This window comes from Homo sapiens, chromosome 3 (genome assembly GCF_000001405.40).
Source record: "Homo sapiens chromosome 3, GRCh38.p14 Primary Assembly".
NCBI lineage: Eukaryota > Metazoa > Chordata > Mammalia > Primates > Hominidae > Homo > Homo sapiens.
The window spans coordinates 11,693,365-11,717,464 of NC_000003.12; the positions used below are offsets into that span (position 1 = coordinate 11,693,365).

General features: G+C 43.5%; 1 protein-coding gene across 8 annotated transcripts in view, besides 1 other annotated feature; it reads right to left on the bottom strand.

Moving 5' to 3' along the window:
• VGLL4 (vestigial like family member 4) overlaps positions 1 to 24,100 on the bottom strand; it is a 165,749-nt gene that overhangs the window by 137,298 nt on the left and 4,351 nt on the right. For 6 of the 8 annotated variants that reach the window (XM_047449259.1, XM_024453835.2, XM_047449262.1 and 3 more), the window contains exon 2: positions 9,607 to 9,683. In XM_047449259.1, coding sequence (XP_047305215.1) covers positions 9,607 to 9,683 — 77 coding nt within the window. Of the gene's footprint in view, positions 1 to 9,606; positions 9,684 to 17,102; positions 17,451 to 24,100 lie in introns of those variants that run through there. The other 2 variants (XM_024453836.2, XM_047449260.1) reach the window with 2 other exon arrangements.
• Positions 11,831 to 12,125: a silencer, noted in NCBI's record as "tiled region #9131; HepG2 Repressive non-DNase unmatched - State 23:Low, and K562 Repressive non-DNase unmatched - State 4:PromP". NCBI's record gives its function as "represses a minimal TATA promoter and a strong SV40 promoter by Sharpr-MPRA in HepG2 and K562 cells {active_cell/tissue: HepG2 | K562}" and the evidence as "EXISTENCE:reporter gene assay evidence [ECO:0000049][PMID:27701403]".

Sequence of the window (24,100 nt, forward strand, 5' to 3'; positions counted from 1 at the left end):
TACTAAATGCCCACCATATGCACCAAATGGTAGACGATTGGAATACAAAAGCAGAAGGGAGCAGGATTCTCGTCCTCAACAGGCAAGGATCTGCTATAGACTCACACCATCCTTCAAGTCTGGCCACCCTCCCCATGACACTCCCTTCTATGTTGCCTCTGGGTTATCTTGTCTCTAATTAAACACTTTGGCAAAGTGGGATCTCGTTACCTGGGGAAGCAGCCCTTTTCCCCTGAATCAGTTCCTTTCCTTCAGTTAGCTGAGGTACTTACTGGGAAAGAAAACTCCATACATATGAAGGGGAGTCCTGTGGCAGCGTGCACCTGAGCCATCACACACACAAGAGGGCAGAGCCATGAACGGGGGATGAAGGACTGTCCCCGAGCACACGCTACCACACGTCCTGAACGTACGGCTGGTTACAGCTAGTTAATATTTTGGAAATGCTATTTTATTGGCTAGGAAGCCTTTTCCAAATGAAAATCTCTTTACTGATAGATTAGTGAAGGTAGTATAGAGGAGTTTTATTTTGTTTTTGTTTTTTTAATCAGCAGAAAAGTCTTTCCCGTCCTCTGGGCAGACAGATAGCAGAGAATTACGCGCTTAGGTTTCACAGCCAGGCTGCTTCCGTTCAATTCTCAGCACTGCCACAACCAGCTAAGTGTACCTGGGCAAACTACAGAAGCCCTATAAACCTCAGTTTCCTTATCTATAAAATGGGACTAATTATAGTACCTACTTAATAGGGGTGTTCTGAGAACTGAATGAGATGATACTGTAATCCTTCAACTGAGGTCCCCAGACAAATGCTCAGGAGTTCATGAGAAATTTTTACTTTTGTTATTTCATGGAGAATCTTTTTTAAAATTTGACATAAGCATCCTCTGAATCAGATGGCTAGGTGCTATGTCACCAAGTATTGCTGTAAGATTTCAGTGACTATGTTTGTATTTTTCTGGTCTAATGAAAAAAGGGGTCAGGCGCGGTGGCTCATGCCTGTAATCCCAGCACTTTGGGAGGCCAAGGCGGGTAGATCACTTGAGGTTAGGAGTTCAAGACCACCCTGGCCAACATGGTGAAACCCTGTCTTTACTAAAAAATACAAAAATTAGCTGGGCATGGTGGCCAGTGCCTATAATCCCAGCTACTGGGGAGGCTGAGTCAGGAGAATTGCTTGAATCTGTAGGGCAGAGGTTGCAGTAAGCCAAGATTGTGCCACTGTACTCCAGCCTGGGCAAGAGTGAGACACTGTCTCAAAAAAAAAAAAGAAAAAAGGACAGAGACAAACCCAATATATAACTGAGGCATTTGCACTAAGAAATAGTCAAATTATGTCACCACAACCTGTATGATGAAAAATTTTACAAGAGTTTGCAAGATGAAAGTGGAGGGGAAATTGCATTAGCCGGCAAGTGGCATGATAGGTAGACTAACATTACAGAACCAAATCCGGCAGACTGGCAGCATATGCCACAGTTGTGGAACAGAGGTTTGGTTGCAGCAGATCTTCATCTGTTGTGTCACGGCTAGCTTTTATTGGCTATATTTAGTTTATAAATGTGTATTCTAGTTATGAAGTTGTAAAGAAACTGCAAGCATAAGGGCCAGGCCCATTTTTATGCTTTATATATTCAAGTAACATAATAAAGATAATCATATTGTACTTACGTAAGGGAATGTTCTCATTCTTTTTTTTTTTTTTTTGAAATGGAGTCTCACTCTGTTGCCCAGGCTGGAGTGCAGTGGTGCAATCTCGGCTCACTGCAACCTCTGCCTCCCAGGTTCAAGCAATTCTCTGCCTCAGCCTCCCGAGTAGCTGGGATTACAGGCGCCTGCCACCACAGCTGGCTAATTTTTGCATTTTTAGTAGAGACGGGGTTTCACCATCTTGGCCAGGCTGGTCTCAAACTCCTGACCTCATGATCCACCTGCCTCAGCCTCCCAAAGTGCTGGGATTACAGGTGTGAGCCACCATGCCCGGCCCAGGAATGTTCTCATTCTTAAGAAATGCACACTGAATTCTTTAGGAGTAAGGAGGAATGATACTGGCCACTTACTCTCATATAGAAAAATAATACCCAACTATATATACATACCTATGTGTGTATATATATATAAAACATGTACCAAAAGACAGAGAGAACATGTGCATGATGAAGGAAATAGGGGTAGATAAAAACAACTGGTGAATCTGGTTAAAGGACATGTGGTAGCCAAAGAACTATAGCTTCTCATAACTAGAAGGAATGCACTTAAAAGTTCAGATCCAGAGTTCCCCTAGGAGGATCATTATTAGACCAGTGATTCGTGTGGGGAAAGGGACCTGATGTCAGATGCACCTGGGAAGGCTTTGTCAGAATGCCAGCAAGTACCCCGTCTCCTCTCTGAGGATCGCGGATAGCAGCGAGCCACTCTTATGGATGAAAATGCACGGCACACCCCTCTGGTATTTTAGGATATGAAAGTAAAAATCACTGATGCAGTGATCAGATAAGCCTCCAAACTATCCGAAATGATCACAGAAGGAAGTACTTAATGAACACTACAGAAGAGCTGGCAGAAAAACGATCCAAAGGCCATGTTATATTGAGCATTATTTTTAGACTTAACTTTTCTAAAGTGCAACTTTACAAAACCAGGAGTCCTCGAAATACATAGAGAAACAGACAGACATAGGCGACAAAACAACAACTGCATTTCCCGTTTGGGCTTTCCTGATGAAATTCTCCCACAGTTGCACACACAGTTGCTAGAAAGCAAGAGTACAGTGCTCTTTCCCTCACTAAGGGAAAACCAGACTCAACACCAAGACTCCAAGGGGAATGGGCAGGAATGACATCAGTATGTTGTTCTCTTTCCAGGGCACCAGAGGACTTGGCACTCTGATCACAAGTAAACACAACTACTCCATTAGAGGCAGTTCCTCCCTATTCTAAGCCTTTATTATTCCTGGGTTTTAGAGTCAGTACTCCAGAAAATGGTCACTCCCTTTGGTGAAACCTATTTGTCTCCCTCCTGTGCTCTGGGGCATGCCTGCCCCTTTGCTGTACCATGCCTCAATCGAGTCCACCTTGTAGATGCTGATCTACTCCGGCATGTCTGAATATTACCGGCTCCTTTTATTTTCATGGCCCACGTGGCAGTCAGATCATCCCAGTGCATACAACGGAGGAGCCAGGAGTAAAGTTTATCACACGAAGGAGATGTAAACCAAATCATGTTTTTTCAAACTGTCGGTTCCAATGTGTTAGTGGATCCTAAAATCAATGTAAGGAGCCATGACTCAACTTCTATTTAAATAGAGTGCAAAGACCAGAAAAGACACATCAAACTGCACTGTGCAAAGTAAGGGTAACCATTGTCTCCTCTTTTTATTTTTTTAAACATATTTTAGAGACAGGGTCTCAGTCGTCGCCCAGGCTGGAGTGCGGTGGCACCATCACAGTTCACTGCAGCCTAGTACTCCCAGGATCAGGTGATCCTCCCACCTCTGCCTCCCGAGTAGCTGGGACCCCGCCGGGTATGTGCCACCCATGCCCACCTAATTTTTAAATTTTTTGTAGAGATGGGGTCTCATTTTGTTGCCTACGCTGGTCTCAAACTCCTGGGCTCAAGTGACCATCCCACCTTGGTCTCCCAAAGTGCTGGGATTAGAGGTGTAAGCCACCACCTGAGCCAGTACTGTCTCTTAAAACTTTTGGATTGGTTATCTCAGTATATGTATATGAAGATCACAATATGAAATGGCTTTTTTGAGATGGGGTCTTGCTCTGTGGCCCAGGCCTGAGGGCAGTGGCGCAATCACAGCTCTCTGCAGCCTTTAACTCCTGGGCTCAAGCCATCCTCCTGCCTCAGCCTCTGGAGTAGATGGGACTGTAGGCACACACCACCACACCCAGCTAATTGTGGTTTTTTTTTTTTTTTGGAGGATGAGGTCTTCCTATTTTTCCCAGGCTAGTCTCAAACTCCTGGGCTCAAGCAATCCTCCCTCCTCAGCCTGCCAAAGTGCTGGCATTACAGGCATGAGCCACCATGCCCAGCCTAAAATGCTTTTTTACTGTGTGCCACAGTCAACCATATTCAAAAGCCACAGTATTAGATGCTGAGAGAAAAGGAGAGAGAAAGAGACAGAAAGATCAGGAGTGGGCCCAGCTGAACTAGTCACAGGAGCAAACCCCATAAGAGGTTCACTTGGCTGATGCAGAAGCCGACCAGAAGTCACCATGATCTTGAGGAAAGAAATCATAAGAGAAAAGAGTATATGAGTGCAACTAAACATTACGTTATCATTAAGCTGACCTGGTTTGCTTTCCTTTTTTTAAGGCAAATGTAGACTACAGCCTAGAAATATAAACATATTCCATACAAGAGGGCCATGTGTCCCCATTATAATAAAAGCTTGGGTTCTTAGGAATGCTTACTTGAAAGGAGTATGGTAATCAATGCTTCATCAATTAGTCAACCTTCAATAATCATCTCCAAACAAGGAGTTAGTGAATTTCTTGGGGCAGATGCAAACGCAACCCCTGCAAAAGCTGCTGTCCTTGCCACATCACTCACACCAGCCCCATCCAGCCTTGCTGATCATCTGCATATTCATTCAAAAGCACTATTCCCTCCACCAAAACCCTCAAAGTTTTAATTTAAAGTTATTTTAATCTAAGTGAGGAAGTCAGCGGATGCAATTAGATCTTAAAATTAGAAGATATGGTTACCAAACTTAACCATTTTGTAAACATTGCAATAAAATGGAATATCATGTTAAAGACATGCCAAGGTGTTGTTTTATACATTAGCACCAAGCACCTTGCCCTCCCATTTTCATCAATTTACCCTATGAAGAAACAGCTGGAGGCTGGCACAGTGGCTCACACCTGTAATCCTAGGTGTGAGGATTATTTTGGGAGGCCAAGGCGGGTGGATTGCCTGAGCTCAGGAGTTTGAGACCAGCTTGGGCAACATGGTGAAACCCCTCCTCTACTAAAATACAAAAAATTAGCTGGGCGTGGTGACACACGCCTGTAGTCCCAGTTACTCAGGAGGCTAAGGCACAAGAATCATTTGAACCCGGGAGGCAGAGATTGCAGTGAGCCGTGATCGCACCACTGCATTCCAGCCTGGGCGAATGAGCAAGACTCTGTCTCCAGAAAAAAACAGCTGGAAAAAAGCTGGGACTTCCCAGCACCAGTATTACCAATCACTGAAAGGAGAGGTTCCTCAAGCACAAGGAAGAACAGCAATCTCAAGTTGTATTTCCATTCAGTACCTTCCAGGGTTACCCTAGACACTGATTACATCAATGTCTCATGAGCAGTGGAATGATTATTTTAAGTAAATTTATCCCTTCCAGGCCATCCAGATAAGCAACTATTGTGTTACTACAAAACCACCATTTTACTATTTATTTTAGCTCTACAGTGTACTATTGAAATATTTCTTTTATTCTCCACTAGTAGACATACTGAAGCCTTAATACTATCAGGTATTATAGACTCAAGTCATAATAGGTACTGTTCCCTTCAAAATGCTGAAACAATAACATCCTCAAAAATCCCCAAGTTTTCAGTTCTCCAGGAGCAAAGGAAAAGAGAATCATTTAGGTCACCTTGATGAGCTGGGAAACTGATCTCAAGTAGTAGAACATTTTTCTGTTTGTAATAAGAGGCCCAAATCAGATTACATTCACAAGGCTTTTTTAAAGTGTTGAGGAGAACGTTAACCTCCCCTAAAGTCTGAGAGCAATTTACAACAAAAGCTAAAATAGAATTAATGTAGGGCAGAGAAAGCTGAGTCAGGCTGAATCAGCCCAAGTAAGTCTAAGAAATCCACTGAAAGACATCGAAACCTAATGTTCAACTTTGTCTATAAATTGTATGACTTTTCACACACTTACATAATAATACATAACTAATGAATTAGGTAACAGAAAATACAATGCCTGGTTTTCGAGCTCAGCATACTTGAGAGTGGTACACATAACACAAGAGTAAGAAAGGTTTCCCAAAAATGTTAATAATAATTGAAGACATCTTTGGACTTTTTTCCTCTCATTCAAATGTAAAAAATGATCCTAAGAAGCTGAAACCATGATACAGGGATTCTAGAATTATGCCAGCCCATCTCTAAAGCAACTGGAGTCATTTGAGTCAAAAGAATGTTCGGCTAGGCATGGTAGCTCACACCTGTAATCACAGCAGTTTGGGAGGCCAAGGCGGATGGACTGCTGGAGGCCAGGAGTTTGAGACCAGCCTGGGCAACATGATGAAACCCCATCTCTACAAAAAAAAGAAATAGAAAAATTAGCTAGGTGTGGTGGCACACGCCTGTAATCTCAGCTACTCAGGAGGCTGAAGCAGGAGGATTACTTGAGCCTGGGAGGCAGAGGTTGCAATGAGCTGAGATCATGCTATTGCACTCCAGCCTAAGTGACAGAGCAAGTTCTGTCTCAAAAAAAAAAAGGAGAATGATCTAGGATAAAGTCTACAGTCTATTTTCTGATTGTTAGAGCCTTATAAGCGAATTTATCCTCATTCTTCAAAAACACCAATGGGCTGTGTTCAACACAGAAGGAAAGTAAGAGTTCCTCTTTCCCTTAGCAGTATCGTTTTGTTTCTCCGAAAACAGCTCTCCCAAACCATAGGTTCCAAAGGGAGTCTTGCATCTACATTACCAGCTGTGCTTGTCCCCACTTCTATACATTTTACAGCCATAAGCGTCTGCACACAAACATATTCATGAGTCCCATGAAGGCAGGAACTGTCCCTTCTTTATCTTTATATGCCCCTTATATATAAGGGTTCAATCATCACTCACTAAATTGGAAACTAGGTAGGCCTCCAACTGGAACAGAATGATCAAAAGAGGAGACAAGAAAGTCTTTACTCTCCCCACTTAAAGACACAAAAGGTTACCCTGAGGTAATTATTTCTATTTTTCATTGTATAAACAGTATTTTGTTTTATTATTCCTAACTAAAGTTGGGCATTGTAAAAGAGAGAAATTCAAACTACTACCTTATATAAAAACTTCTAAACTGACTATATTGGCGCTCAACAAAGTCTGCAAATAGCTATTCAAATCAGCCACTTCTCCAGGGTCGTCACTGCTCCCTACAGTCTTACAGTGGCTGCTCCCTGCCCTGGCACCAGCCCGCCCCACCCCTTTTTCTCCCTTCACCCCCAAAAACTCCTGAGCTAGATCCAAGCTGGTGGTAGGCCTGACACGATGTCCTCCTAATCCTCATCAGATCACATAGAAAAATCATTGCTTAGGTACCACATTTTAGGAGGGGCACTGCCAAGCCTGGGTAGGTGAAGACACAGCAATGAGCTCAGAAGACATCCCCGACACAGGATGGCTGACAGCTCTGGAGAGAGGTGATATGCAATTGTAGAAAGTCATATTTCTTGCAATCTTAGAGGAATAAAGGAGTTTTGTTGTTGTTTAGGTAAAAAGCCTTCGGCCTGAGCTGCCTCTCCCGAGCTCCAATTCCTCAGATTCCCATTTAACATCCTTGAACTTCAATTTCTTTAGTAAGGAATAATTATACCTCACCATCAGGTGGTTATATCCTCACAACAATCAAAAGCTAAGTAAGTGTGAATTATACAAGAGGTTGAAAAAACCTTACTAGATACCTCACGCAATCACTGGTAGAATGATGATCTTGTAGGGGTGGTGGCAGGAGGGTGGGAAGACACAGACGCATGATGATAAGGTTTGGATATTTGTCTCCTCCAGATCTCATGTAAGAATGTGATCCCCAACGTTGGAAGCAAGGCCTAGTATGAGGTGTTTGGGTCATGGGGGTGGATCCCTCATGAATGGCACGGTGATGAGTGAGTTCTCACTCTACTAGTTCACTCAAGAGCTGGTTGTTTAACAGAGCCTGGCACCTCTTCCTCTTTCTTGCCCTTCCTCTCACATGTGACATGCCTGCTCTCCGTCACCTTCTGCCAGGAGTAAAAGCTCTCTGAGGCCTCTCCAGAAGCCAAGCAGACACTCATGCCATGCTTGTACAGCCTACAGCACCGTGAGCCAATTAAACTTCTTTTCTTAATAAATCACCCAGTCTCAGGTATTCCTTTACAACAATGTAAATGGACTAAGACACATGTTAATACAGAAGACTGGGAGAAGCCCTATCAGAAGCCAACAATGTGCCAGGAGAGAGGGCAAGGCAGTCCCAACCAGGAGTCAAAAGCTAATCAGTAAGCTCAGTACACACGACAGCCCGTTAATCCTCATCAACACTTTGTAGGTAGGTATTGTTGCTCCATGTTACTAATGAGAAAACTGAGGCTTAGAAAAATAAAAGTCTAACAGCCAGTAGAGAGGTAGACCTCAGATTTTAAGAACATACACTTGCTGTCTGCCAATCCAGGAAGGACTAAACTGGAAAGAGCTCATCTTCGAGAACTTATAATGTATAAAACGTCAACCTAAATTTTTTTGTTGTTATTAATATTTTAGTGCTTAGAAAAAGAACTGTTCCTACATGAAACAGTAATTCTTACAATATTGTTTAGCAAGTAATCTTAACTTTGAACAAGAACGTTTAAAAATAAATATATTGTTGGGTGAGCAGGAAAATCACTTTAAAATGTTGTAGAATAATCTTCCAATATTGTTCCTTTCACCCATCCCTCAAACTACACTAATGAACATTTTTTTTCTCCCAGTATTTGCTCTTTCTCAGCAATGCAAACATAATTTTCATGACTGTTTTCCATTATGACACATACTGTACATTTCCAACGACATAAATGACGTTCGATGATTTTTTTTCCCATCTCTAGCTCTCTGCTGGTCAATTAGTCTATCAACTAACACATATTTATCTCAACATCTGAGACACATAAGGAGTATCTTCATTCCAGATCACTGATAGTAACCTGAGAAGGAAAGAACGACCTACAATTAACGGTTCAAACTCTAGCATACAAAGTTAAAATACTGATTAAGGCCAGACGTGGCAGCTCCCGTGTGTAATCCCAGAATTTTGGGAGGCCGAGGTAGACGGATCATTTGAGGTCAGGAGTTTGAGACCAGCCTGGCCAACATGGTAAAACCCCGCCTCTACTAAAAATACAAAAAAAAAAAAAAAAAAAAAAAATTAGCTGGGCATTGTGGCAGGCACCTGTAATCCCAGCTACTTGGGAGGCTGAGGCAGCAGAATCACTTGAACCTGGGAGGTGGAGGTTGCAGTGAGCCGAGATTGCACCACTGCAATCCAGTCTGGGTGACAGAGTGAGACTCCATCTCAAATAAATAAATAAATTAAATTAAATACCAGTTAAATACCAGTACCCACACTTGAGTCCACGAGTTTGAAACCAGCCTGGGCAACACAGCATGATCCCATCTCAAAAAAAAAAAAACAAAAAAAAAAACAAACCAGTATCCATAGTTAAGTGCCAGTTAAAAGACTTACATGTTCTTGAAAATACAAATGAGGATGTGAAGCTGTTATCTCTAAGGAAAACCACCAAAATTAACAGCAAATAGCCAGAAAACCATGTAGAGAAGCATGTAATTTTGTTATGGAGCAGAAGACAAGGGATCATTAAAGCACTTAAGCTATTTTATAATAGACTCCTCACTTACGTTTTTCGTCATCAGCATGCACCAGAGATGCTGCCCTGGACAAAACATCCAATGGCGTCTCCATTCCTGGTTGGAGCCTAAGAGGAAAAAATAAAAGGGGAAAAAATAATTTAAACAGAATTCAAAAGACTCTTAGAATCCTAGTCATTAACAGAATGAGTCCTCAACCAAATGCAAATCATTCTTCTAAGGATGAAATTCTTCCCACATGAGGAAACAGAATGGGCTTGGTTCAGGGAGAGAGAAAAGGGTTAAACTCCATTTAGTCTACTAAGCTAAACTTTGCCAACTACAGGAAGCAGCTGATGTAGGAACTAAAAGAAGGGATATTGTGAATATTCATGCCCATGTTATTTGGTGCTTATGTTTATGTGCATGCATAACATGCCTGTATAAACATGCCCAATAAAAGAAAGGTTTTCAGAACAACGGCTGCTCTATGAACACAGCATCACTACCAGTGAGGTGGTGCAGCTTAACACACGCCACGTACTCATGGAAAGCTGTGTGAGAAACCCACTGGTAGGTTAATTGATATTTTAAGTCCAATAAGAATCTTTATGTTAAAACGTCATGTTTTGTATAATGGTATATTATATAATCACCACCTATCATCAATTTATCTAGCATCATGTTTTTTAATAAGACTGGATTTTTATTGTTGTTTCCTTAAATTACAGCATACTATAAAAGCTAAAACAGCAAAAGATTTAAAGCTCGAGGAAAGCCCTGGAAAACCAGAATGCTTTTTACCCAGTTTCCCTTTTCTGGGTTATTTAAACACACACACAGTTACTGGCACACACACCCTACTAGCTCACCAGCTGAGAAAAACAACTCCTTAACTGTACCACTTTACAGACACTTGGAATTTATTCAGCATTCTTCAACACTTATGGAGTACCTACTACGTATGCACCGGTCACAACATGTGGCAGACCAGCTTTTCTTTGTAATATTCATACCTCAGGCCTCCAAAGAAACACTGATCCACGAGGCATGGTAGCTCACGCCTGTAATCCCAGCACTTTGGGAGGCCAAGGCGGGCAGATCACTTGAGGTCAGGAGTTCAAGACTAGCCTGGCGAACATGGTGAAACCCCATCTCTATTAAAATTACAAAAAATTAGGTCGGGCGTGGTGGCTCACGCCTGTAATCCCAGCACTTTGGGAGGCCGAGGCGGGCAGGTAACCTGAGGTCGGGAGTTTGAGACCAGCCTGAACAACATGGAGAAAACCCATCTCTACTACAAATACAAAAAAATTAGCCGGGTATGGTGGCCCATGCTTGTAATCCCAGCTACTCAAGAGGCTCAGGCAGGAAGATCGCTTGTACCCGGGAGGCAGAGGTTGCGGTGAGCCGAGATCGAGCCATTGCACTCCAGCCTGGGCAACAAAAGGGAAACTCCGTCTCAAAAAAAAAAAAAAAAAAAAAAGAAAAAAAGAAAAGAAAAGAAAGAAACATAGATCCCTGATCATGCAATATGACTTCATTCAGTAAACGTTAAATATCTACAAGGAGCTCCAGGCGGGAAAAATAAACAAAGCCCAGTAGCTGCCTTCGAGGAGCTTTCAATCTGCACGGGAGGCAGGCCACCGAGACATCTAGTTTAAGGCAGCATTCTTCCAAAGCATTCTGCACTGGGTGTTCATATTTTGTAAGAAAAAAACGTTTTTCTATGGTAAATAAGTTTGAGGAAGCCTGGAGTAAACCAAGCTAAGCAGCGTATTTTCCTCCCCGTGCCTTTAATCTCCCGTTGTGGGGACAGAAAGCCCTGTACACGCGAAACCTCGTAGACGTCATGAGCCATTTTCAACCCAAAACGCATCTCAGGGAACATCTGGGGAAAATACTGGGTTAGGGCAAAATGTGCAAAGCGTCAAAACAGTGCTAGAAACAAAGTCCTACAGAAATAACAGATGAATTCTGAAAGGCTTTGTGAAGAAAACAGAACTTGAGCGGAGGCTTTGAAGAACGAATATAAAAGTTCCTCCCCCAGAAGGGAAGAACAGAAGCAGAATCGGTTTAACAACACGCTGCCCAAATCGCCTACAAGAGTAAAATGGGGACAGAAAGTAAGCGACAAGGTTGGAAATTTAGATTGGGACCACATCGTGAAAGGACTGAGGGCTTCGATGGGACCGCGGCTTGACACGCATTAAGGAGCCACTGAAAACTCCATCTAAGCAGAAAAGCGGCTTAGTCATCCATGCGTTCTGGGCAAGTTATCCTGGCCGCACCACGTGGAACGGAGTAGATAGAGCTCGGGAAGCTGAGCGCAGGGCGGACAACGGGAAGGCCAGAGCCGTGGGCAAGCACGCGGAGGGCAGCGAGGGGCACTGGCACCGGAGCCGCGGGGAGGCAGGAAAACGCAGAGGCGGAGCTCACTGAGCTTGGCAGGCAGAGAGAGGAGGGGAGGGCCACGGAAGACTAAGAGTGGCAGGGAGGCAACGACCTCCTAACACACGCACATGTCTTCTTTTTCAGAGAGGATGGGTAAAAGCAGCGGTCTAAGAGGGAAAACCTAACAGTGCTCACATTCCTGATCTTCTTTGTAAAAACAGAAAAGACCATCTCCTAAGAGGAAGGATTTGTGAACTTGTTCAACAATGGAGAAAACCAACAAGAACTTGGAACTGACTAACAGAAAAAAGTCTGCTGAACTCCCAAGAACTAGGTAATATTCTCTTCACCCAAGCCAGCTTCCTATTCAGGAAAGATCTGGGTTTAAAGTCTTGTGATTTGGTCGAGACCATCCTGGCTAACACAGTGAAACCCCGTCTCTACTAAAAACACAAAAAATTAGCCAGGCGCGGTGGCGGGCACCGTAGTCCCAGCTACTGGGGAGGCTGAGGCAGGAGAATGGCATGAACCCGCGAGGCGGAGCTTGCAGTGAGCTGAGATCGCGCCACTGCACTCCAGCCTGGGCGACAGAGCGAGACTCCGTCTCAAAAAAAAAAAAAAAAAGATCTTGTGATTTGGGGTAGTAACTGCTGATAAGCATCCTACTTTGCAATAATACAGCATTTAGACTCATAATTCTCTAAATTAATTTTACCCCATTAAGTTGAAGGACAATGCTTTCAAAATTCTAGACCTAAATAGATTAATACATACCTTAGGTTATATAAAGTATGCACAGAAACAAAATATCAAAGCATAAAAGTATCAAATGACATAAGGTAGACCCAGAATTCTAGCATAGCGGAATATTAGACATTTAAGTTTATACAGATGCTATGAAATCCTAAACCCCCAAGCAACTTACATTCAAAGTAGGTAGATAAGATAATGGGTATTAAAGGTTCATCCACAAGGCACCTGCCATCTGCTGCAACCTTATTAATGAAATCAACCAATGTTTATTACACAATTATTCTAAGCTCAGCAAAGTGCCCAGAAAAGGTTAAGGAGAAACAGAAGATAGATCTCTGCTTTCAAGGAGTCACGCTCTTGTTCGGAAACTAAATTTTATAAGATAGGATAATGACAGGCAAAATCAAAAAGAGGATAAACAAAGACTAAATATTATTTAAAACTAAAATGGGTACAGTGTCATAAAAGAGATCAATGTCAGCTAACGTGTTTGCCTTGTGCACATCTATTTTTTGTTTGGGGGTGGTTTGTGGATGCGTGTGTGTTTCAAAAAGCCACTTGGAAAATTTCCTTCCCCGGTTGCCCTGCCCCAGGCAGTCACTCTCCTCTCTGGCCTCCCTCACCTTCCTGGATCGCACTGTGTTTCTGTATACTTCCTAGGTGCAAGGACCCTGTCTTATCCCCAGTGCAGTCATCCTGAGTCAACAACAGTCTGAGAAAAGGCACAGGGGCAGGAATGAGCACCTGGGACAGGTGGCCAGACCTGACTAGCTAGAACTGAAAATCCACGTTAGGAAGCAGCAGAAGCTAAATTCAGGTGAGCCTGATGCGGGTGGCCTTAGGAAAGAGCTGACAGCTGGCCTTCAGGTTGATACTTAATGTCACAGGCAACAGGCAGTTGTCATCATCTGTCCCTGAGCTGGCCCGTGACATGATGTTCACACTATTTTAGTTTAGAAGTTCCATGCGTCTAGGCATGTGGCTCACGCCTATAGTCCCAGCACTTTAGGAGGCTGAAGCAGAATAATTGCTTGAGCTCAGCAGTTGGAGAACAGCCTGGGCAACATAGTGAGACCCCATTTCTAAAAAAAAAAAAAAATTTAAATAAAAAATGAGCTGGAAGTGGTGGCATGGGCCTATGGTCCCAGCTACTCAGGGAGCTGAGGTGGGAGGATCACTTGACCATGGAGGGTTGAGGCTGCAGTGAGCCGTAATTGCACCACTGCACTCCAGCCTGGGCAACAGAGCCAGACCCTGCCTCAAAAAAAAAAAAAAAAAAAAAAAAAGACGAAGAAGTTCTGTGTAGGATGGTTTGACTGGAGAGGGTGACTCCAGAAGTTACTGGAGGTGGATGAGTTAAGAGGCTTCTGTAGGAAGCAGGTGCAAGATAAGGACAATACAGCTGGGACATGAGGGACGGGGACCAAGCATTATCTAGCCATGGAAGAACAAAGCAAAGGTGGAAGATAACAGTTATTAAAAAAAAAAAAAATGGTCTTCCAGGTGGGTGTGGTGGCTCAGCCATGTAATCCCAGTGCTCTGAGAGGCCAAGGCAGGAGGATCGCTTGAGCCCGGGAGTTCCAGACCAGCCTGAGCAACACAGAAATTTGGAAATTTACTCATTTCTACAAAAGATTAAAAAATTAGCCGGGCATAGGGACGTATACCTATAGTCCCAGCTACTCGGGAGGCTGAGGTGGGAGGCTCCCTTGAAGCCAGGAGGTCGATGCTGCAGTGAGCTATGATCACACCACTGCACTCCAGCCTGAGTGACAGGGTGAGACCCCATCTGTAAAAAACAAACAAAAAGTCTTCTGCATTTTATGTCTTATATACATCCTATCCACAGCACTAAATAAACCCAATAAAACATATTGATAATGTGGGAGGAAAAACCATGGCTACAGTATTAGATGGAGGATCACACCACATTGACAGGCAAATCAGCATCATGATTATTTCAGCATCAAATTAGCATCAGGATTAATATGAATCCAGGTAAACCACTTCCAATCTATGTAACCCTGGGAAATGACAACCTCTGTGTGTCTATTTCCTCATCTGGAAAATGGAGATATTAATATTACCTCCCTCATACGGTTTTCTGAGAAGTGAATGGGCCTTATAGGTATTGAAATAATTATTTGCCAAAACTTATGCAAATATATTGAATAAATCACAAATGACAGTAAATGTACTGAAAATGACAGGGCACTGTCCACTACTTTAGCTAGCGTGGTCTGGGAAGATTTCGCTGAAGAGAAGAATGGAAGTTGAGACCTAAAGAATGAGAAGAATTAGACCCAGAAAGAGCAGGGAGGGTGGGAAAAGGTGGGAGACAGCAGCACATGCTGAGACCAACACACAAAAAAGCTGGGCAGGTGATGTGGGGGGCGGCCAGGGTGGCTGCCCTGAAGTCAGCAAAAGGGAGGCCTGAGGTGGGCAGCACAGGGCCAGGTCACGTGTGCCTGGAGGGCCTGCAACACCGATATTTTATTTTAAGTCCGTGAAAAGTCCTGGAATGGCCCGAAAAGCTTCAAGCAAGGAAGTGACAAGTTTATTTTATTTCCTTTATGAGCCACAAATTATCCTCTACCTTACACAAAAAATTATGCTGCATCTGAAAAACAAATCTAGGTCTATCCCAATAATGTCTTATTTCTGTGGTAGTTTTGCATTAGGATATAGTGATAACCAAAAATAATCCATTGAGGACCAGGCATGGTGGCTCACACCTGTAATCCCAGCACTTTGGGAGGCTGAGGTGGGCAGATCACTTGAGGGTGGGGGTTCGAGACTAGCCTGGACAACATGGTGAAACTCAGTCTCTACTAAAAACACAAAAACTAGCCAGGCATGGTGGTGATGGCACCGGTAATCCCAGCTACTCAGGAGGCTGAGGCAGAACTGCTTGAACCCGGGAGACGGGGGTTGCAGTGAGCCGAGATTGGGAAAGTGCACTCCAGCCTGGGCAACAGAGTAAGATTCCATCTCAAAAATAATAATAATAATAATCCATTGAAATGCTGACACCTGGAACATAACAACATTTAAGTGAGTGGAGTGTGGCTCTAGAAAAAGATACAGAGGGCCAGGTGCAGTGGCTCATGCCTGTAATCCCAGTACTTTGGGAGGCCAAGGTGGGCGGATCACAAGGTCAGGAGTTCAAGACGAGCCTGGCCAACATAGAGAAACCCCGTCTCTTCTAAAAATATAAGAAATTAGCCAGGCATGGTAGCAGGCACCTGTAATCCCAGCTACTCGGGAGGCTGAGGCAGGAGAATAGCTTGAACCTGAGAGGCGGAGGTTGCAGTGAGCCGAGATTGCACCATTGCACTCCAGCCCAGGGAACAGTGCAAGACTCCGTCTAAAAAAAAAAAAAAAAAAAAAAAAACAGATACAAAGTACACTGTGTGCTCCACTGCACTGCAAACCAGTTTCTGGTCTATCTATTCACCTTTTTCGTGGTTGTCAAATGTGAAGTTAATTCATCATGAATAGACATATATTTTGTTGTTGTGGATTTTTTTTTTTCAGGTAATGGTCATATATTTTCTCTGCCAGTCCACATGCCTTTCCTCACACTCCCTTAGCCTCAATTCATATGTTCTTCCAAATAACTAAAGGTTGAGAATTAGGGAACAAGAGGTATCGATTTTAAAGCTACAAAAACTTAGGGGCACTCAGTGCTAACGGCAAGCTCAGCTATAAATCTGACAGCCATTTTTTGGCCTTCCACAAAGAACTGTCCCTTTTTAGTCAACAAGGGGACATGAGTACCTATCTTGGTGTGTTAGTCCATTTTGTGTCACTATAAAGTAATACCTGAGGCTGCGTAATTTATAAGAAAAGAGGTTTAACTGGCTCACAGTAGACTGTATAAGCATGGTGCCAGCATCTGCTCAGCTTCTGGTGAGACCTCAGGAAGCTTCCAATCATAATGGAAGGCAAAGCAGAAGCCAGCACATGACATGGCAAGGGCAGGAGCAAAAGAGGCAAGAAGGTGCCACATTCTTTTCAACAACCAGATCTCCCATGAACTACCAGAGAACTCACGCATCACCAAGGGGATGGCACTAAACCATTCATGAGGGATCGCTCCCATGATCCAACCTCTCCCACCAGGACCCACCTCCAACATTGAGGATCACATTTCCACATAACATTTGGAGGGGACAAACATCCAAACCAAATCACTTGGGAACAGCACTGTGGGGTATATTAGATTATATTGTTTTTCAAGCAATGGAACACAACTCCAAAATATGTTATGGAAGTTTTCCAAGAAGATTTGCACAATAAAAGCTACAGCACCAGGCATGTTCACTCCATGTCTGTCCCATGGCAGTGGCTAGATATGATATACTTTAGGTAAGAGTACGAGAACATGGAGCAACTACCTTGTCTAGATGTGGAGGCCAGGGGGGTGAGCATCGGAGGAATCACATTCAAACTGCCAGGTGTTCCTGCCACACACAGTAACAGGGCCAAAAGTCAGAAACAGACAGACATCACTATCCTTAAACACCTGATGGCCTCTCCAACTTCCAGATGCACACAATAAAATACCCTAATTCCTGTTGGCCCTGTTCCTTCATGAGTCCAAACTCTGGCCTCCCCAGGACCACTCCCTGAGCTAAAACCAATTTGGTTTCAGCTAATAATATACAATGGTAGGACAAACCCAAAAGTATGAACTATCACACCATGGCATGGGGTGTACTTCTTGGCCATCAAGAATTTAGAGATGTGGCTGGGCACCGTGGCTCATGCATATAATTCCAGCACTTTGAGAGGCTGAGGCAGGCAGATCACTTGAGGTCAGGAGTTCGAAACCAGTCTGGCCAACATGGTGAAACCCCGTCTCTACTAAAAATACAAAAATTAGCTGGGCGTGGTGGTGAGCACCTGTAATCCCAGCTACTCAGGAGGCTGAGGCAGGAGAATCACTCGAACCCGGGAGGCGGAGTTTGCAGTAAGCTGAGATCGCACCATAGCACTCAGCCTGAGCAACAGAGTGAGACTCCATCTCAAAAAAAAAAAAGAATTTAGAGGTGGCTGGGCACAATGGCTCATGCCTGTAATTCCAGCACTTTGGGAGGCCGAGGTGGGCAGATTACCTGGGCCCAGGAGTTTGAGACCAGCCTGGGCAACATGGCAAAACCTCATCTCAACAAAAAATACAAAAATTGGCCAGTCGTGGTGGTTCACCCCTGTAATCCCAGCACTTTGGGAGGCTGAGGCGGGCAGATCACAAGGTAAGGAGATCGAGACCATCCCGGCTAACATGGTGAAACCCCATCCCGGCTAACATGGTGAAACCCCATCTCGACTAAAAGTACAAAAAATTAGCCAGGCATGGTGGCAGGCACCTGTGGTCCCAGCTACTCGGGAGGCTGAGGAGGCAGAAGAATGGCGTGAACCCGGGAGGCAGAGCTTGCAGTGAGCCGAGGTTGCGCCACTGCACCCTAGCCTGGGCTCCATCTCAAAAAAAAAAAAAATTAGCCAGGTATGGTGGCGTATGCCTGTAGTCCCAGCTACTTGGGAGGCTGAGGCAGAAGGATGGCTTGAGCCCAGGAAGCTGAAGCTGCAATGAGCTGAGATCACGCCACTGTACTCCAGCCTGGGTGACAGAGGGAGACCCTGTCTCAAAAAAAAAATAAAAAAGAATTTAGAGGTATTTACTGGGTATCTCCTCTATTAAAACACTGTATTTAGACGTTACAAAAAAGGAAAAGTAAACTCCCTGCCCTTGAGCACCGTACACCAAATATGGATGATACTGGGTGATACACTGGCTGTCAGGCTCAGTGAGAAGGAAAACTGAATGAGAATCAGACCAAATGTCACCAGATTCTGGTGGCGACATGCAAGCACAGTTTCACGGTTTTAAATCCTCCAGCTCTTTCTCCTCCCCAGAGTGTCCGGTGATGCCCCACCAACTTCGTGCAGCACATATTCTTCCTGTTAACATCCCATTCTCAAACCACCCCTCTCTGCTCTTCTTGCTAAAAATATCTCTCATTTGAGTAATCCTTTTTTCTTCTCGCACTTTACCATCTGTTAAGTCAACAGAGCCAGGACTTTAGCATCAGGAAGCCCAAGTTTGAGCCCTACTTTAAATCTTTCACTCATTCAGTCAACAATCCCTGAAAGCCTATTTTGCTCTAGGCTTTGCCCTAGATGTCTAACACTTAATTGTATGGGCCAGTCATTTACCCTCTCCAGGCCCTAGTTTCCTCCTTAAAGAAAAAAGTAAAAAACATTGCCTAACTAACTTCCTATGATCACAAGCTTATCACATAGATTAAACGATGTAACTGAGAATGTCTTACAAACTAAAGAGAGAAACAGATTTTATTAGTCTACCACCACCATCTTCCAGGTGTATAGCATACATGTTTTCAAAATACATTCACATAAATGACCTGATTGGATTCTCACAATCAAATTATTACTTAGGCCAAATGGCCAAATATGATTATTATTTTTCTTCTACAGATTAAAAAAAAAGAAAAATTGAGGCACCAAGAATGGAAGTGACTTCCTGAAGCAACTAAGACTAGAATTCAAGTCTCTCAATTCTCCCTCCAATGCTATTTTTACTACTCTTAAGTTGATCATGCTAAAGAGGTTTTAGTGACAAGCACAATTATTTAGCCTAGGTCAAAGCAAACCTTCCATTAGCAAGCACGACTTCTAGCCCTGTGCTCTTTCCTCTACACCTTGAGATACCTATCAGGCAATAATGTGACCGTTTCAACAGCGAGCAAGGGGAAGCAAGCCCTTACCCGTCAGGAACACGCAAACCATGGTATATTTGAAATTCTTCTAACAGAGGTAGGCATGGAGTCACATTAATAGTAACCAAGGCAGGTAAGAAAAGAAGACTGTCACACCAGGTCAATTGATGCTGAGACTGTGGCCAACAATGACACCGGCAACAAACTACCAAGACATAGCGATTTCTGGGGCCACAGCCACAGAGGAGTCAAGCTAAAACCCTGAGGACTTTGAGATCCACGAACAGGTACAGTAGTAGGAAGGATGGTGTCAACTTCACCATGCTCAGGAAGACCTGTGGTCAAGCTCCAACGGCTAACTGTTAAGGTTCAGTGAGAACATTTTTAAAATTTCACCTTGGTGCTCGAACTGCTCACAACCTTAAATTGTATGTTACCTTTCTAAATAGAAGCCAGCCCTTATTCAAAATATTCTCTCAATAGTCATATTATCAAAGAAAGAGCATGACCAGACGGATCATTTGCTATTCCAGCTTTCCTCACAGAGGCATGTCCCAAGCAGGTATAACTGACTCACGCTGCCGTAATTTGAAGCATCAATGCCAGAAGAACTTGGCTGCTTCTGCTTGCGTCAAATTCCTTACTTCTACACATGATCACTCCTGAAAATTCATTAGAAGGCCAAACGTTCTAATATTTGAACAATATATCTTCATGTTCTATATCTACCTCCTGAGAACTGTGTGTATATATATTATTTATATATATATATATATATATATCTGCATAAAATCCCTAATTAGGATTTTTTCAGGTACCTGCCAACCTCAAGTGTGAGCCCCAGATCACACCCTTTCCATAAGGCTTAGCACCCCTCCTGTGAAACCTCTGCAGGAGGGAGGTCTACAGGCTGGGCAGCTGTCAATCTCTTACCCTCCAATGTAGGCTGGAGGCTGTATAGCAGGAACAGGTAACCTTAGGTGCCTCCACCTCCCATGACCTCAACAGAAAGTGAGACCCCCATTAACTCAGACCAAATAAAGGGCTAACACTCTGGATGGAAACACTGAATGAATGCTCTGCTCAACCACTCAAGGTTTCCTGATGCTAACGTGGCTCAGGGCTTGAGTCTATAGGACTTCTCAGCCCTGCAGGAGGGCAGGGGTACGATACTTAGTCATCACAACTACCCTGGCAACAGGAGCTAGCAGATAGTGCCACCACACAGTGACAAAAATCCTCGGTTATTGTAATACAGTTTGGTATCAGTGTAAACTATACAAATGCACAGACTGTATGAAAGTTGATCATGTACCCGGTGAGGTACATCTATACAGGCTCTGGGCTGCAAAACCCAACTTACATTACAACACATTTCACGGCCCTATGCAATGCTGCCTGATGCTGGTGCAAAATTCTTACTGCTGGCTGAAGTCCACCCATCTCCCTAAAGTGTCCCATGGAAAGTGACTATATGGTGGGCCCACACTGAAACTACTGTTATCTAAGGGGGACAAATAAAAATCAAGTCTGAACTTTCTGAGCAGACTACCAATTCCCAACATTTTTCAACACTGTTGTCAGCACAAATAAAAATGAGGCCAGGCACGGTGGCTCACACCTGTAATCCCAGCACTTTGGGAGGCCAAGGCAGGTGGATCGCTTGAGGCCAGAGGTTCGAGTCCAGACTGGCCTACATGGTGAAATCCCATTTCTACTAAAAATACAAAAAATAAAATAAAATAAATAAATAAAAATACAAAAAAAAAAAGAAAAAAATGAACCATGTTTTTCTTTCTCATTTTAGGATATTATGAATCTCTCTCTCTTCATTTTCAAGACCGCAGCCTTATACAGCAAGGCATATGAAATAACAGAAACTCTTTGGCATTTTTAGTTTCCTCTGGATATGCTTGCTCTTGCATTTATTTGAAGACTTAAAATTTGAATACTTATGTGAATAGTTAGTATTTCCTATTCACAAGTGCTAAAGCGACACATATTCTTAGGGACCTATTACTCCCAAGAATAAAAGATGAATTTGGGCTGGGCGCAGTGGCTCACGCCTGTAACCCCAGCAGTTTGGGAGGCTGAGGCGGGCGGATCACGAGGTCAGGAGATCGAGACCATCCTGGCTAACACAGTGAAACCCCGTCTCTATTAAAAATACAAAAAATTAGCCAGGCACGGTGGCGGGCGCCTGTAGTCCCAGCTACTCGAGAGGCTGAGGCAGGAGAATGGCGTGAACTCGGGAGGCGGAGCTTGCAGTGAGCCGAGATCGCGCCGCTGCACTCCAGCCTGGGTGACAGAGCGAGACTCCGTCTCAAAAAAAAAAAAAAAAAAGATGAATTTGCATCACAGCCCAAGTTAGCAAGCTTCCCAGAACAGCCCAGGTCTAACTCTCCATTGTTCCAAAATAAAATCTCAGCCCTCAGCCTATTAAAGCCACATAAAGTCATCTAATTAATGACACAGTGCAACATTAGGTAGCACTGTAGTTATTACCATCAGTAAATATTATTGGTTCTTTTTTTTATTTTTTGAGATGGAGCCTTGATCTGTCGCCTAGGCTGGAGTGCAATGGTGCGATCTCAGCTCACTGCAACCTCCACTTTCCGGGTTCAAGCAATTCTCCTGATTCAGCCTCCCTAGTAGTTGGGATCACAGGTGCCCACCACCATGCCCAGCTAATTTTTGTATTTTTAGTAGAGACGGGGTTTCACCATGTTGGCCAGGCTGGTCTCAAACTCCTGACCTCAGGTGATCCACCTGCCTCGGCCTCCCAAAGTGCTGGGATTATAGGTGTGAGCCACCGGGCCCGGCCCAGTTCTTGTTATTCATAGTAGTTGTGTTCTGTAAAATCTCTGTGAACATTGAATTAGTGGATATTGAACCAGTGTTCCTAGGGGAAATGAGAGTGAGATTCCTTCCGGCTTCTGGTCACATTTTTGCAAACTGATCAATACACAACCTTGTTTTACGTATGTTTCTGTTTAAAGACACCTTATTTAATACCTATTGTTGATTCATTAATGTTGAACTCAAGGCCAACAGCACCGTAACTCAAGCCTGAATGAAGCTCATCTAACATGTATATTTTCTCCATGAGGCTCATCACAGCCTTCTTGGCTGAGGAACATTAGACAGCATTTTAGCACCATACTTACGGGCCACTGTAAATAGCAAAATCCCCAATAAAAAGCACAAAAATGGGCAGGGTGCAGTGGCTCACACCTGTAATCCCAGCACTTTGGGAGGCCGAGGCAGGCAGATCACGAGGTCAGGAGTTCAAGACCAGCTTGGCCAACATGGTGAAGCCCCGTATCTACTAAAAATACAAAAATTAGCCAGGTGTGGTGGTGGGTGCCTGTAATCCCAGCTACTCGGGAGGCTGAGGCAGGAGAATCACTTGAAACCGGAAGGTGGAAGTTGCAGTGAGCTGAGATCGCGCCACTGCACTCCAGCCTGGGCAACAAGAGTGAAACTCTGTCTCAAAAAAAAAAAAAAAAAAGCACAAAAATATATAAAAACATGTTACTAAATAGACTGCAAAAAGCACACTTGTTTACAGCATGAGAGCTCAAACAAGAAGGCAGGGTAGTGCCTTGTCTGAGCTCTACTGGGAACATGTGCATTGGGAGGCTCAAATTTTTCCCCATACTGCACATGTCCACAAATGTCGAAGAAAGTGTCAGAGGCATTGATTTGGGGCTTACAAATAAATTTTAGTGAGTAGACAAATTTATAAACATGGAACCACGAAAAATGAGGATCGACTATATCTGGCTATTAGACCTGAGGCATGAGACACAGAAAGTACATTCTACAAAGTTTTCTCTCTTTGCAAAAGTGCTATTATTCTGTATTTCAAGAAGGTATAATTGTTCTGGTTTTAGCACCTCCTACATTCCTTTTCCTACCTTGGCAGTTTGTATCTGCCAAATCTTGCATCAAGATTTTGCAATCTAGTTCTTATGATACTGGGTTTTTTTTTGCGGGGGGGTGGTTTATGTGGACAGATCCTAAATGCTACAGATTAGCAGCATTCACTTTACTCTTCTATTAAACACCCACCCATAGCTTCATTAACTTTAGGTGAGTTCCCTGAAAGAAGCACAAATGAGCCTCAGTTAACATACCTCGAAGAAATTTCTTAACTCACACACACAAAAAACTTTCTCTTTCACCAGGTTCTCATAGCTGCAACAGCTCATCTCACACAAGCAATAAGCAGACACATTGGTATGTTAAAATCACCACACCAAAACAAGAAGGCAATACCCTGCCTTCTTGTTTGAGCTCTCATGCTGTAAACAACTGTGCTTTTTGCAGTCTATTTAGTAACATGTTTTTATATATTTTTGTGCTTTTTTTTTTTTTGAGACGGAGTTTCACAATTTCAGTGACGTTAAAATTTTCCCGTGTATTTTATTTTTCCTTCCTGAGCTTACAACTTTTAGTACTTTTGTTAGGTCATGTTCAAAGTTACAAAACAACTTTTATTGTTAACCTACTCATTATTTTACTAAGGCAAATTAAAAGCTGCACAGCAAAACTCTCCAAGACAGATACCTAGAAGAGACACGAAATAAACTCTCCCTTTGGATTTGTTTTGGCAACCACCAGAGACTGGTAACAGGGCTGCCTCCATAAGG